The 14,528-nt window shown below is 54.8% G+C and overlaps 1 protein-coding gene across 6 annotated transcripts in view, besides 1 other annotated feature; it reads left to right on the forward strand.

Moving 5' to 3' along the window:
- Positions 1 to 14,528, forward strand: part of SDK1 (sidekick cell adhesion molecule 1) — a 967,749-nt gene that overhangs the window by 838,675 nt on the left and 114,546 nt on the right. For all 6 annotated transcript variants that reach the window (NM_152744.4, XM_047420038.1, XM_047420037.1 and 3 more), the window contains 2 exons: positions 5,796 to 5,990; positions 9,336 to 9,537. In NM_152744.4, coding sequence (NP_689957.3) covers positions 5,796 to 5,990; positions 9,336 to 9,537 — 397 coding nt within the window. The remainder of the gene's footprint in view (positions 1 to 5,795; positions 5,991 to 9,335; positions 9,538 to 14,528) is intronic.
- Positions 7,179 to 7,793: an enhancer, noted in NCBI's record as "H3K27ac-H3K4me1 hESC enhancer chr7:4186737-4187351 (GRCh37/hg19 assembly coordinates)". NCBI's record gives its function as "activates a minimal SCP1, AML or CMV promoter by ChIP-STARR-seq in primed H9 embryonic stem cells {active_cell/tissue: H9 hESC(primed)}" and the evidence as "EXISTENCE:reporter gene assay evidence [ECO:0000049][PMID:30033119]".

Here is a 14,528-nt window from a genome sequence, read left to right on the forward strand (position 1 = left end):
GGGCAGGGCCCCAGGCCTCCCTGAACAACAAGACCCCACTGTTCTCCCATGAGCCTATTCATTGTGCACCTCTGGGCCAGCTCTGCAAACGGTGATTCCTGCCAGGCCCACACTCTGGAAGTGTGACCTCCAGAGTGCCTTGTCCCCCTGTCACCACCTCCCTGGGAGCACACAGGTTCCCTTCCTCGTGCTCTGGCTGCTGCAGACAGTGGCGCTGCTCCTGCAGGCCTTCTCTGCCGCCCCGCTCCACCCCAGCCTGCACCTCACAGGCTGCTCGTCCCCCTCTCAGATCAGTGGCTTTGCCTCTGGCCCCCGCTGCATAGCGCTCTCCCTGGGCCCACCTCAGCTGACCTCTTTCCTGATGTTACTCCCCAAGGCTCTTCCCGAGGACTCTCTTTCTTTGGCACTTTCTGGAACAATTCAGCCTCCCCAGATGGGAGCCCTCACATGCTGGAGGCGTGGCTCTGGAGCTGGGCCCAAGTGGGACCCCCGGCCCCACGATGAGGGGCTGTTTCTTGATGTTTTGCAGTTTCCCCCACTCTGTGTCGGTCACCTTCAGAATGTCCTGCTGAGTGACTTTCTCTGAATTGTTTTCTGTTTTTTTCTCCCTTTTCTTTAATCATCAGAATCCCATCATACTGCAGCAGGGGGGAGCTGAGGCCAACAGCAGGGTATCCTGGGAAGAGCTGGGGCTCGATGCCGAGGGACCCCAGCCCTGCCCTGTTTACTGTGTGCTCGTGGGCACCCAGCCCCTCCTTGCCTGCAAATGTGAAATGGAAACAGGAATATCTGCCTGGGGAATGTCATGAAGTCTTAATATGGTAGCTATGAAGTGCCTGGAATATAGAGGCCCCTAATAAGCTGTGTCTCCATTTTAAAAAATGATTAATAGAGGCCAGACACAGTGGCTCATACCTGCAATCCCAGCACTTTGAGAGGCTGAGGCAGAAGGATCGCTTGAGCCGAGGAGTTCAAGACCAGCCTGTGCAACATAGTGAGACCCCATCTCTATTTTAAATTTTTAAAAAAATGATTAATACCAAGAGATGAGAACTGAGAGTCAGGCAGAGATTAGAATTTGCCTGAGGGCTGGGTCAGGAGCCAGGTCTCCCGGCTCCCTGCTGTCTAGTCAGGAGCTTCTGAGAGAGAGGCAAGGACCACACACGAAAAACAATCCACAAACCCGAGGCAGTGTATCCTCCAAGGCAAGTGAGGTGAGGCCCACGTGGGGCAGTGAAGGGGCAAGTGCATAACCACATGATGGAAGCCTGTGTAGTCTGCGGCATGGCCAAAGGCAGGGCTCACCTTGGAGGACAGAAGAGTCAGGTGGGGCCATTGATAGAAAGGAGGGTCTGTAAGCAAACCTCAGACAGCTTGGCAAGAAGAAACCAGTTCCCACATAATCCCCAAATCCTGTGATCCACAAGGAGTGCCTTTGAACAACATCTTCATTTCATCTCAGGATTATTACCTCTAGCAATGGAATAATCTGGGCAGAGATAAAACATGGTGAAACAGTAAAGATTAAACAATAATGAAAACACGTCTGTAACCATGCCCTGCTCCTGAAAGTAAATAATACCTCATTAATTCAGACATAGTCACTGAAAGGCAATTTGGATTTTGAGCGAGAAGTCTTAATCACACACAACTCTCCAACATATTAAGTAATGAATCAAGGGAACTCAGGTAGGCTGGTGGGATCCATAGGAAAGGCATGTTCCTGGCCATCGGGGATGCTGGGGAAGGCCCTCGTTAGTCGTCTGTCGGGGCCAGGCCTCCAAGCATCTTCCACACAGGGCTTTCTCTTTCTCTTTTAGGGATAGGCATGTTTTTGTTGTTGTTTTTGAGACAGAGTCTCGCTCAGTCGCCCAGGCTGGAGTGCAGTGGCGTGATCTTGGCTCACTGCAACCTCCGCCTCCCGGGTTCAAGTGATTCTCCTGCCTCAGCCTCCCGAGCAGTTGGCATTACAGGCACCTGCCACCATGCCTGGCTAATTTTTGTATTTTTAGTAGAGGCGGGGTTTCACCATCTTGGCCAGGGTGGTCTTGAACTCCTGACCTTTTGATCCACCTGCCTCGGCCTCCCAAAGTGCTGGGATCATAGGTGTGAGCCACTGCGCCCTGCCGGGATAGGCATGTTTTTTCACACGGTGAAGAAGAAATCTTTTTAGCCACTTGTGCAAAATCAGTGAGATGATCCCACCTCGACAGTGTGGAGGGAGCAGGCTGAACCCTACGCATACATACATGAGTCTGTTTTTAATGCAAACTTGATTTTTGCTGCCTTAGCGAAAGATTCGTATCTCTTCATCTCTAGGAACGATATTCAGATGCCTGAACTTAACACTGGGTTACACATCATTCTTGGTGGTTTTGGTTTTGCGTTTTTGTTTTTTGTTTTGTTTTCTGTTTTTGCTGGAGACAGAGTCTTGCTCTGTCACCCAGGCTGGAGTGCAGTGACGTGATCTCGGCTCACCGCAGCCTCCGCCTCCCGGGTTCAAGCGATTCTCCTGCCTCAGCCTCCTGAGTAGCTGGGATTACAAGCGCCCGCCATCACGCCCGGCTAATTTTTGTATTTTTAGTAGAGACAGGGTTTCACCATTTTGGTCAGGCTGGCCTCGAACTCCTGACCTTGTGATCCGCCCACCTCGGCCTCCCAAAGTGCTGAGATTACAGCCATGAGCCACTGTGCCCTGCTAAAGTTTTGTATTTTTAGCAGAGACAGGGTTTCACCATGTTGGCCAGGCTGGTCTCAAAGTCTTGACCTCAAGTGATCCACCCTCCTTGGCCTCCCAAAATGCTGGGATTACAGGCGTGAGCCACTGTGCCTGGCTGCTTTGCACTCTTTACCTGGCACATTTGCATGATTTTTGAGCCATGTGAATGTTACACAGCTCAAGAAATCATAACAATATTGAATGTCTTTAGACAAAAGGCAGCTTAAGCCTAGAAGGTCTCCAAGATGAACATCGATTATGTGGCCAGAGATGCTTTTTCCAGGCAGAACACAGCCGCCCAGAGACCTCAGAATTAGGGTCATTCTCCCAGCCCCGAGGAAGCAGGACATTGTTGGGGAATTTACATTTTAAGGGGGAACTCCGACCCAGGGAGTCCTGTTCTGAGGCACACGCTGTAGGTAGTTAACTCAATCAGGCATTGCAAAGTTGGGGGTGTCACTCCTCAGGGCTGGGCTAGGGGCTTGGCCATGTCTGTTCTGGGCCCCTGTGCTGCTTCCGGTGGGCATTCAGCACCCTGTCCTGGAGCTGCAGGGGCCTAAGGCACCACGCCCATATCAGTGCCTGTGGACAGGTCCGGGGAATAAGGTTCCATGGAGGCTGTGAGGAATGATAACTCTGTGGTCATACCGGCCACCACAGGGTGAGGAACTGCTAGGGAAGGGGTCTTGCCAGCTGGAGGAGGGAGGAGAAGTCGTGACTGCAATTGTTTTATAATAATATTAAAGCCAGGAGCAACCAGGCATGGCTGTGCCAGCCAGGTCATTACCACCGTGAGCCCCCAGAGCCCTCCTGGCACCCCGTGAGGTGTCCTGCCATATCCTTGCACCATGTAGTCCAGCAAACTGAGGCTGGGAGAGGCTGCATGGCTCATCCACGGTCACACAGTGAATGATTGGCAGAGCGGGATTCCAGCCCAGAGGTGCACCCCCAAAGGTGTGTCCTTCCTTTGAAGGGCCCGCTAGCTTCTATTGGAGAGGATGCTTCTGCGCAGTGGGCCCTGGGGTCCGTGGTTCCGAGCAACGGGGACCTGGCGAGGGGATGCTCTCCCTTTGCTCACAGATCGGCATGGGTGTTTGCTTCTCCCAGGAAGAGTAGGCACCCATGGGGCTCCAGCCCGACTCTCTCGTCACTTTCTCGCTGGGGACCCATCTTGGAGCTTCACAGCCTCGTCCTCATCCTTGTCTTGTATGCTTCCTGACAGGCCTGCGGCGAGGGTCTGGCATGGGAAGCGTTGCAGGGATGCAGCAGGGTCCCTGGATGTGCCTAGCAGTGTAGCCGCTGTGGTCACGCTCTCCTCACCGTCAGAGTGCGGGGCGGCCAGGAGCCCCGAAGCCTCAGACTGAGCTTCCATTGTGTGTGCACGGCTGACTCCCTACTCTCACTGTGCAAGGGTCGGGGAAACGGGAGGCCTGTGGGAAGAGCTGGCCCTCTCCCTACTCTCACTACACAGGGGTGTGGGGGAAGGGGAGGCGTGGGGGAAGGGGAGGCCGGGGGAAAGAGCTGGCCGCCGTCTCTAGGCTGCCCTCGGTCAGTCAGTGACTGGGAAGGAACAGGAGTCTAGCAGGGACACCCTTGCCAGAGACCTGAGGCCAGCAGGGCCACATCCAGGAAGTCTCAGAACTCCCGGTCCCCATTGTGGGGAAGACAGCCCGTCCACTGGAGGCAGGGCAGCGGCTGCGACAGCCACTCTGGGGGCCTAAGTTCAGGGTCCTGCAGACACCTGCGCCTAGAGGTGGCTGCGTCATGGACAGGGCAGGGCGTGTGTCCCTGTCTGTGTGGCGGTGATGACGGTGCTGATGGTGAGCGGTGATGCCTGGGGCCTGATGTGAGGATGCCCTTGAGGTCTGATCTCCGTGTAATTGTCCTCCCACCTCCCAGATGGCGGGCTGGGGAGGGGTTTGTTAAATGCGTGGATGAGTGACAAGGCGCAGGAGCTGGGAGGATGCCTGTGAGCTCGGTCGTTCATGAACCAGAGACCTGAGAGCAGGAAGAGCTGAGAGAGGGAGGGGTTCACCCGGAACAGAGGCTGAGGGCAGGGGGCAAGCAGCGTGGGGTCGCCCGGCAGCTCCTCCCCACAGAGGGTGAGCCACCAGTGCAGAGGCCACTCCACGAAGAGGCAGCACTGATGAGACCGGAGCGCGGCTCTGTTCCCCCCGTGCGTCCTCCCTTGTTTAACTCCAGCAGTTGATTTTTTTTGGAAGCCACAGCGCCCCGTCATTTCTGGTTTTAATCAGCGCAGGAGCTCAGCCGCTGGACCACACGTTGTCTGTGAGCCAGGCAGGGTGCGGACTGGAGCTGCAGAGTTAACAAGGTTCCTCCAGATGCCAGCGGGGGAGGCCTGGGGCGGCCAGTGGAGAGGAGTGATCGTTAATAAGGAACGTCTGGTCAACCCCAAGCCCCTCCCAGCGGAGGAACTGAGCAAGCCAGGAGCCCTCCCTCAACTGGGCAGCACAGGGGGATTCTGTAAGCAGAGCTGCCCTGGCGGAGCTGCTCGGGAGGGGTGGGGCCAAAGAAGGGGCCGGATGGACGTTGCTGGGGTCCCTGGAGGGAGCTGGGGGGTCAGAGGTGCAGGCAGACAGGGAAGACAAAGGAGGGAAGGAGGAGTGGCCGCTGTGGAGCTGCTGTCCTGCCTGGGGAGGCCATGCTGTCTTTTGCAAGAATTAAACGACTTCCTAAGAGAGCGACGGGGAGAGCCAGACTGCAGGAGGGAGGGAGAGGCAGAGACTGAGAAGCCACAGCCCTCTGGGGAGCAGGGAGGGACTGGGTCCCTGTGGCATGCTCGCCTCGTGCCCGCATCCTAAGGAAAGATGAACCCGTGTTCACACCTTGTTCTGGTGAAGGATGGAGCAGGAAACAAGCTTCACAGGGAAATCCACGTGGGGCCCCACCATTCATCACAGCCATGAGACCACCCTTTCAGTGCACAGGCAGTGACCTCCAGAGACGGGGAAGAGACAGATGGCCTTCCAGGGGTCAGCACAGGGTGTGGGCACAGGGCTTCCCTGTGCCGTGGGTGACTGGCTCAGCAGCTGTCTCCCATGTCACCTGCCTGCAGGGTACCAGATTGCCTACCGCCTGGCCAGCAGCAGCCCCCACACCTTCACCACCGTGGAGGTCGGCGCCACAGTGAGGCAGTTCACAGCCACCGACCTGGCCCCGGAGTCCGCATACATCTTCAGGCTGTCCGCCAAGACGAGGCAGGGCTGGGGGGAGCCACTGGAGGCCACCGTCATCACCACCGAGAAGAGAGGTAAGACCTTGGGGGACCCGGGGGTACTGCAGATGTTGTGGGCACAGCTTCCTCAATCAGGCCCTCTGGGGTCTGCGGGGTACCTGGGAGGCTTCGGCCTTCCCTTCGGAGAAAGAGAAGGGATGTGAGCATTTACAAAGCACCCATTGCACCTGACATGGAGCTGGACACACTATCAAACAGCATTGCATTCACACCTTCAGCCTCACACCTGCTCTCTCAGACACGTGAGCACTGCGTTCACACCTTCAGCCTCACACCTGCTCTCTCCGACACGTGAGCATTGCATTCACACCTTCTGCCTCACACCTGCTCTCTCAGACATGTGAGCATTTCGTGACACACTTTCAGCCTCACACCTGCTCTCTCAGACATGTGAGCATTGCATGACACACTTTCAGCCTCACAGCTGCTCTCTCAGACATGTGAGCATTGCATTCACACCTTCTGCCTCACACCTGCTCTCTCAGACATGTGAGCATTTCGTGACACACTTTCAGCCTCACACCTGCTCTCAGACATGTGAGCATTGCATAACACACTTTCAGCCTCACACCTGCTCTCTCAGACACCTGAGCATTGCATTCACACCTTCAGCCTCACACCTGCTCTCTTAGATATGTGAGACGGTCTCAGGTTTAAGGAAAGCAACATTGCTCGCAGAGGCTGAGTACCTGGGGCAAGGCTGCAGAGTCACCACATTTGAGGTTGAGCTCCCCGAAAGCAGCCCCCAGTCTCTGATGTTAAACCCACGTCCTCCGTAGAGCAGGTGCTCAGTAAGTAAGTTTTCCAAATAACTGCCTTCCCAATGAGAACTGCCGGGCGAGCAGGGCTCTGCTCCACGCACGGAGACAGGTGCTCCATGCACTGCACTTGGCCTATCCTTCCTGCAGCCCACGGAGCAGCATGGCATTAGCTCTGATTTTTACCAAAGATGAGACAGAGGAAACTGAGAGAGTTTTATTAATTTGCCCAGACACACAACTGCAGAGCTGAGATTTGGACTCCCCTCTGACACCACGAGGCCGACTCTTCCCATGAAAGTCTATAGTGGGCGCCCTTCTCAGTGGGCTCCGCGCATGTCCTCGGGCCTTGCAGCGTCCAGGGTTGGTGCCACAGGACCCTCACCTCAGCAGCCCCAGCTCCCACTCCAGGTCCTGATGTCATGGCCAGACCCAGGGACCCTGTGGGAATGAGGACGGGAGGGAGCTTGCAGGCACCACTGCAGGGATACTTGGAGCACACAGTTCTGGCCACGCTCCTATTTTTGTTTTTTTATTTTTGAAACAAGTCTTGCTCTGTTGCCCAGGCTGGAGTGCAGTTATGTGATCATAGGTCACCGCAGCCTGGAATGCCTGGGCTCAAGCAATGCTCCCACCTCAGCCTCCCCAGTAGCGGGGACTACAGGCACACACCACCCAGCTAATTATGTTCTGAAGAGACAGAGTCTTGCTATGATACCCATCTTGGCCGCCCAAAGTGCTGGGGTTACAGGCATGAGCCACTGTGCCCAGCTAATATTTTAATTTTTGTAGAGATGGGGGTCTTACTACGTTGCCCAGGCTGGTCTCCAGCTCCTGGGCTCAAGCGATCCTCCTGCCTCAGCCTCCCAAAGCTCTGGGATTGCAGGTGTGAGCCCCTGCCTTTGGTCCTCCCATAGCATTCAGTGAAAGCACATCCCCTCTGTGACCATTACCACTATCATTATTATTGTTATTAGCTGGAGGGACGGAAGCCCTCAGTCGCCACAGACACCCGAGGTGCTTCTGCAATGTAAAGCACATGGAAGGGATGCCCTGTGAAAGGAGCGCCCCTATCCCCCTGCTGCCACCCTGGGTATCAGCACTCAGGGCTGTCGGCTTCTCAGGAAGATGGTAATGGCTCCCAAGCAAACGTTTTGACTTCTTTCTCTAATGTATTTGTGTGGTTTTATGGTTCATTTATCTTAAACATTGACTGTGCCCCTCCCGCGAGCCAGGCACGTGTGCAGGTGCATCACAGACACGGTCTCACAGCAGGTCCTCTTATTTCCCCGTGTCCTGCCCCACAGCCCCGCCCCACAGTCCCGCCCCACACTATGCCACCTGATTATCCGGACCAGAGATTTCGGAGATTTTCCATTGGGGCCCCCATCCTCCATCCTCGTGGCTCAGGGAGAGGGAATCCAAGAGACTTGCTAGTTACCACTAAGTCCAAGAGAGCCTTTGAAACGGGATACGCTGGGCCACCTCCCCTCCGGAGACCAGGTGAAATCACAAGGGCCAGAACGTGTGCTTACGGAGGCAAGTGCTGATGAAGTGAGACGGGAGCCCTCCTCCCACACCCGCCACTGGGGGCCGACAATCAATTGCAGCTTTACACACGCCACGCATTCTAATCAGAATCAATAATCTTCATGATAAACAATTAAACAATTATTCCTTCCGCCGCGGAACTTCTCTGCTGAAATCGATGGGGTGCAGAGGCACAGCGGCGGCAGATGATGGGCACTCCAGGCCGGGCCTGGCCCCAGGCACCCCGCGTCCCGCATCCAAGCTACTGCACACACCAGAGGCAGTGACAGCCCAGAGGTGCCCTCACCTACAGCAGCACTGAGTAGATGCCGTAGATGCTTTAGGCCCTGGGTGACTGCAAGAAGGAGGAAATTCAGCGTTAAAGGTGGACTGAGCACAACATCAGAAAAAGAGAGACCAAAGGGACCACAGGGCTTGGAACAGCCCCCAAGACCCTGCGACCCCAGCTGTCATCACAGACACAGTGCCTGGTGGTCTGGCAGCCCAGGGACTCCTGTGTGGCTTTGTTCCTGTCTGTTGGTCTCTATGAGTAGTGCATCCGAAGTCAGCCTTAAGATAGCTGCTCAGCTGGGTGTAGTGGCTCACGCCTGTAATCCCAGCTCTTTGGGAGGCCGAGGCAGGCGGATCACGAGGTCAAGAGATCAAGACCATCCTGGCCAACATGGTGAAACCCTGTCTCTACTAAAAATACAAAAATTAGCTGGGCGTGGTGGTGCACACCTGTAGTCCCAGCTACTCAGGAAGCTGAGGCAGGAGAATCCCTTGAACCCAGGAGACAGAGGTTGTAGTGAGCTGAGATCACGCCACTGCACTCCAACCTGGTGACAGAGTGAGACTCTGTCTCAAAAACAAAACAAAACAAAACAAAACAAAAAAACAGAGCCTCTCATCTCCCTGACCCAAGGAAGGGACTGGCTTCAGACTGTCCAAGGCATGCAGGCAGCTCTCATGGGCAAGCAGTCAGCCCTGTACAGCAGCGTAGCCTCCTGGGGATGTTCCTTGGGAAGGGCAGCCTCTCACATGTCCCTGGTCTGTCCTCATTTGGTTGCAGAGCGGCCGGCACCCCCCAGAGAGCTCCTGGTGCCCCAGGCAGAAGTGACCGCACGCAGCCTCCGGCTCCAGTGGGTCCCGGGCAGCGACGGGGCCTCCCCCATCCGGTACTTCACCATGCAGGTGCGAGAGCTGCCTCGGGGTGAGTGGCAGACCTACTCCTCGTCCATCAGCCATGAGGCGACAGCATGCGTCGTTGACAGGTACTGAGAGAGCAGGAGCACCTCCCCGGGGAACGGGGCCCTGGCCGCCTCCAGCCAGCTCCTGTCCAGATAGTGGGGAGGCTGTGTGGGCCAAGCAGGTGCACCCCTGAGAGCACAGGCCCCCTTTCTTTTTGACACTCCCCATGCTGGGAATCCCAGAACTCCTGGGTCCTGGAGCTACTTCCAAGGGCCCACCCCCAGCCGCTTCCCGGAGTCTGCTCTTCCAGGTGTGCAGGGCTGGTTTGGTCACCCCAGGACCCAGGGATTGGCGAGGCAGGGGTGATGGGGGGCAGGCTGGACATGTGGGCTGGAGTCCTAGCCCCTCCCAAGGCTGGCAATGGGGAGGGGACCATGTGGAGGAGGGCTGGGCTGGCCTCGGGTGTCCAGGGCTGGAGGGACGTTGCGTCCCCTTGCGTTCTCGAAAGCAGCAGGGAGATGGATGGCACCACGAGTACTGTGCTTCCTTAGTGATGGCTGGGGAAGATGGGAGGGCATGCCTAGGACACGACTAGAATCCGTCCACTCACTCAGTTGTTTACTGGACCTCTGGGCTCAGCATGGGAGAGGGTTGCATTGACAATAGCAGCGGCGTTCTGTGGGTCCCCCAGGGTCCTCACAACTGCGGTTTACAGACCCACCCACTCTTTACAGACAAGGAAACTGCCACAGTCACACAGATGGGCATCCCAGGGCTTAGAAGCCACCCCAGGAGTCCACACCCTCACCACATGCCCTGACCAGGCCCTCCTGGGGCCTGTCTGGTTCGCAGGCCCTGCCTGGGCAGGGCCACCCGGGACACCCGCCTTGTGCTTCTCATTGGCCCAGAGTTTGGTCACTTGTTACTGAGCTCACACTCCAGGCTGTGGAGCGGGGGTCTTGGAGTGAGTCCCTCCATGTCGCAGGGCTCTGGAGCCTGCACCAATGACTAAGAGGGTAGAGGGGCCAAGACGGTTGTCTCCAGGCTGGCCGAGCTTCCTCTGTCTCTCAGATGGTCACATAGGTCAGCTCTGCGTCCCTGCAGTCACCCAGTAAGGGGAGACCATGATCCCACTCTACAGAGGAAGGCCAAGGTCAGAAAAGTCGGTCATTTGCTCATATCCCCCACCCAGCCTCCGTGGCGCCCAGCCATCCTCGTCTTCGAGGCTGCCCGTCTCAGCCCTTCCTGACTGAACCTGAATGTAGGGAGGGAGGCAGGTCCCAGGTGAAGCCCCTGGCAGCTCCTCAGAACACCACCCTGGCCCCACTCTGCCCTGGGGGCAAAGTTCAGGCTTTGGAGTGAGGGCTGATTGGAGTGTGGGTGTAACTGGTCCTAGATGTGACAACAGGGGGTTTCAAAGAGAAGAGAAACCTCCAAAACCCCCATCCCTGGCTTGAGGACCAGGCCCATGACAGAGGCGAAGCACTTGCCCAGGGAGGGGTGGCCGACCGGGCGTCTCAGTACAGAGCTGTGAAGCTGGAACTGTGCAGGCTCAGCCTGGCTTCTGCCACTTGCCGTTGAGTGATCTGGGGCAAGTGACGGGCTCTCAGGTGTCTCCAGCTCCCTGGCCTTTGAGTTGCGAGGCTTGGAGGTGATAAGGCCCTTTGGACGGTCATGGCCATGGATGCCAGTATCGCCTTTGCCACCCCACACAGTGTCCCCAGGAGGCACAGCTGGGTGTCAAATGCAAATCCTGACCAGAGTCCCTGAGCAGTCCAAGGAGGGTCACACGGACCATCGGGAACCCATGCTGCGGCTCCCAGGCCCCCATTGGAGACCACAGACCAGCAAGGAAGCCAGCGCCCCAGTGCACAGCTCCAGCTCTCTGTGGCCCCAGAGGACCCACCCTGGCACAGTCACCCTCTGCAGTCTCATGGTCCAAGCAGCCCTCTGCTCTTCTGAAAATCGAGGTGGAATGGTCCCTGCGCACGGGGCTTGTTTCCAGCAAGGCCAGAGCCATTGCCTGGCTTCCCCTCTTACAGGGCACAACATCTGGTGAGGTCCGTATGCTGGCGGGTTGGAATTTAGAAAAGCTGTTCCGTCCCCACAACTGTGGTTATGCCCCTCATGTTAGGAAAACGAGGCTGCAGCAGCTCCGGCTTGATGTCCCCTCTGAGGTGTTTTCCCTGGTGATCTAGTCACTCAGCTTCCAGACAGTTAAAGCTCTGACAGGACTTCACCACCACCACCGCCATCCTCGTCGCCATCATTATTTCCGGAATCCCCTCATCCTGTCTAGCACCTGTCATTTTCAACACCACTTCCATGTGTCATTTCATACGATCTTTGTAACAACCATGTGGACATGCAGCCCAGACTTCTCACTATTCCCAGTTTACACACGCAGACATTGAGGCAGAGATATCTTAAGTAACGCATATGCAGGTGCCTTGACGTCTCTAAATGGAAGGGATATTTCCTGAGGTTTTTGTAGTTGTCACATTCCGTGAGCCAGAGGTCAAGGCTCCATAGACACAGTCCACGTCCTACAGTTAATTTACAAGGGTCTGCGACGTATGAAAACCCAGTGTGTGTGCATCTGAACACCAAACTTTCCACAGTCAGTCTCCCCTTAGTAGCTGCGTGGCCTTGGAAAAGTCCAACCCTTGGCTGCCTGCTAGGACTCTGTCCTCTCATCTGTGAAAGGCAGGGCTGGAGCGGGGATCCTGCTGTTCCCTCCAGCTCTGTGAGTCCAAGGTTTGCCTCATTGCTGACCGCCACGGAACTGGCAGCCAAGAAATAAGGCAATCGGAAGAGTCAGACTGTCCGCCAGGTTCCTGCCAGCATCTCACTTGCCCTTTGAGCTACAGCAACAGAACTCGAGGGGCACAGCTCTCTCCCCTCCAGAGGAAGGCACTCCTAGTGGCAGATACCATCCTCCCAGAGCCCTGGAATTCTCCTGGCACAGCCCCGAGGGTCAGGGGAGTATGGCCAGGTGCGCCCAGCCTGACTTAATAAAGTACACAGGATGCTTAGCTTAATTGGCAGTGTGCTCACATATATAAATAACCTCACCCTTTGTGTAACCATCTAAAAGAAGGAAAAAAAATATCCAGCCACTATTCCTGAAGGCTTCTGAAGCCAAACAGACTAATCGTGTGTCCGGGACTTCATGCTGGCAAGGAGAGGTCCATGTTTCAGGACAGACAGTTTAATTTGGTATAGGAGAGACCAATGTCAATTTCCTAATGGGCCAGAACTAGGACAAATGCTTCCTCTGCCTATCAATAGAGAACATGTCACAGGAGAATCCCAGGAAAGTGATATTTTGTACACTGCCACAGTATAATCTCCCTTCCTGTTTAATAATCCTGACAGCTACATTTTACTTTCACCAGTTGTGTGACATCTGTGAGTATCCAGAAAACATTAAGAGTTTAAATGTCTCAATTTGGTGACTGTGACTACGTCCAGGGAATATGGGTCGAGACCCCCAGGGAGAGGGGTTGGGTCTGAGACGTGTTCAGGTGTTGCCAGTGTCTGGTTGGTGGTTGAAGTTGTGAGACGGGGTAGCCACCCACAGAAATGCAGTAGAGAGGAAGAAGAGAAGGGCTCTGAGCCCAGTGTGACTTGGAGGTTCTGGATGTCACTTTAGGACAGAGCAGTGGCTGTGCGGGCTCAGGGGGTGGCTGTGCATCTGGCTGTGATGGGCTCAGCTCCTCCTCTGAGCTCTGTCGTGGGATAGGTGCGGGGGTTCCAAACAGAAGACAGAAAGGCGCAGAGGGAATGAGCATGGAAAACAGCAGGGATTCAACGAATGTCAGCACCACGGCCCTAGCTCCTTTTGACTGATTTCTTTTTTTTTTTTTTCTTTTTCCGTATAATGTAATTTTTTAAAAATATCATTATTTAAGGATCAGATGGGCTGGGCATGGTGGCTCATGCCTGTAATCCCAGCACTTTGGGAGGCCGAGGCGGGTGGATCACCTGAGGTCAGGAGATCGAGCCCATCCTGGCCGATATGGTGAAACCCTGTCTCTACTAAAAATACAAAAATTAGCCAGGCATGGTGGCATGTGCCTGTAATCCCAGCTACTCAGGAGGTTGAGGCAGGAGAATTGCTTGAACCTGAGCGGCGGAGATTGCAGTGAGCTGAGATCATACCACTGAACTCCAGCCTGGGCAACAGAGTGAGACTCCATCTCAGAAGAAAAAAAGAATCAGATGAACTTGGCCAAGGATATGATACATGAGCTTGATATTCTTTGTGATACAATAGTGAGGTCTAAGTGTTTGTGTTTGTTTGGTTGGTTGTTTTATTTGTTTTTGTCTGTCACCTGGGCTGGAGTGCAGTAGCTCCGTCATCGTTCACTGCAGCCTCCAACTCCTGGGCTCAAGATACCATCCTGTCTCAGCCTCCCGGGTAGCTAAGACTACAGGCATATGCTATCGTGCCTGGCTAATGTTTAATTTTTTTTTTTTTAGAAATGGGGTCTCACTATGTTGCCCAAGCTGGTCTCAAACTCCTGGCCTCAAGTGATCCTCTCACCTCAGCCTCCCACAGTACTGGGATTACAGGCATGAGCTAACATGCCCGGCCAATAGTGAATTCTTAAGAAACATTTTTAGTGCCTTCCAGATAAGTAAATAAAGACAGCAGTGAATCGCTTTAAAAAGATGCTCAGCACTCATCCATTTTATAATAGAACCAAAATGAAGGAATGGAGCTCCTCCTATTTAAAAGACTCTGCATTTAGCTCTGAGGCAGGAACGTGGAACTTAAGCTATGTCCTTCCCCGACGCCCATTCCAGAACACTTTGGCTGTGGAGGTCAAGTTTGTGTATGTGATTAGCCGTCCGAGGCAGTACGAGTACAAACTGGCTTTCTAAATATATCGGTTATTGATTTGGGGTAAGCAAGAGTTCTGATAGCAAGTTCAGAGAGTGAGGGTCCTGTATTACCCAAATTATTTATTTCCTGAGTTTGGGATGATTAGAAGAAAGAGATTAGATGGCAGATGTTATCTCAAAAATATCCCTAAATCTATCCAGCTTCTGAGTTTGTATGTGGAGA

This window comes from Homo sapiens, chromosome 7, assembly GCF_000001405.40.
Source record: "Homo sapiens chromosome 7, GRCh38.p14 Primary Assembly".
Taxonomy (NCBI): domain Eukaryota; kingdom Metazoa; phylum Chordata; class Mammalia; order Primates; family Hominidae; genus Homo; species Homo sapiens.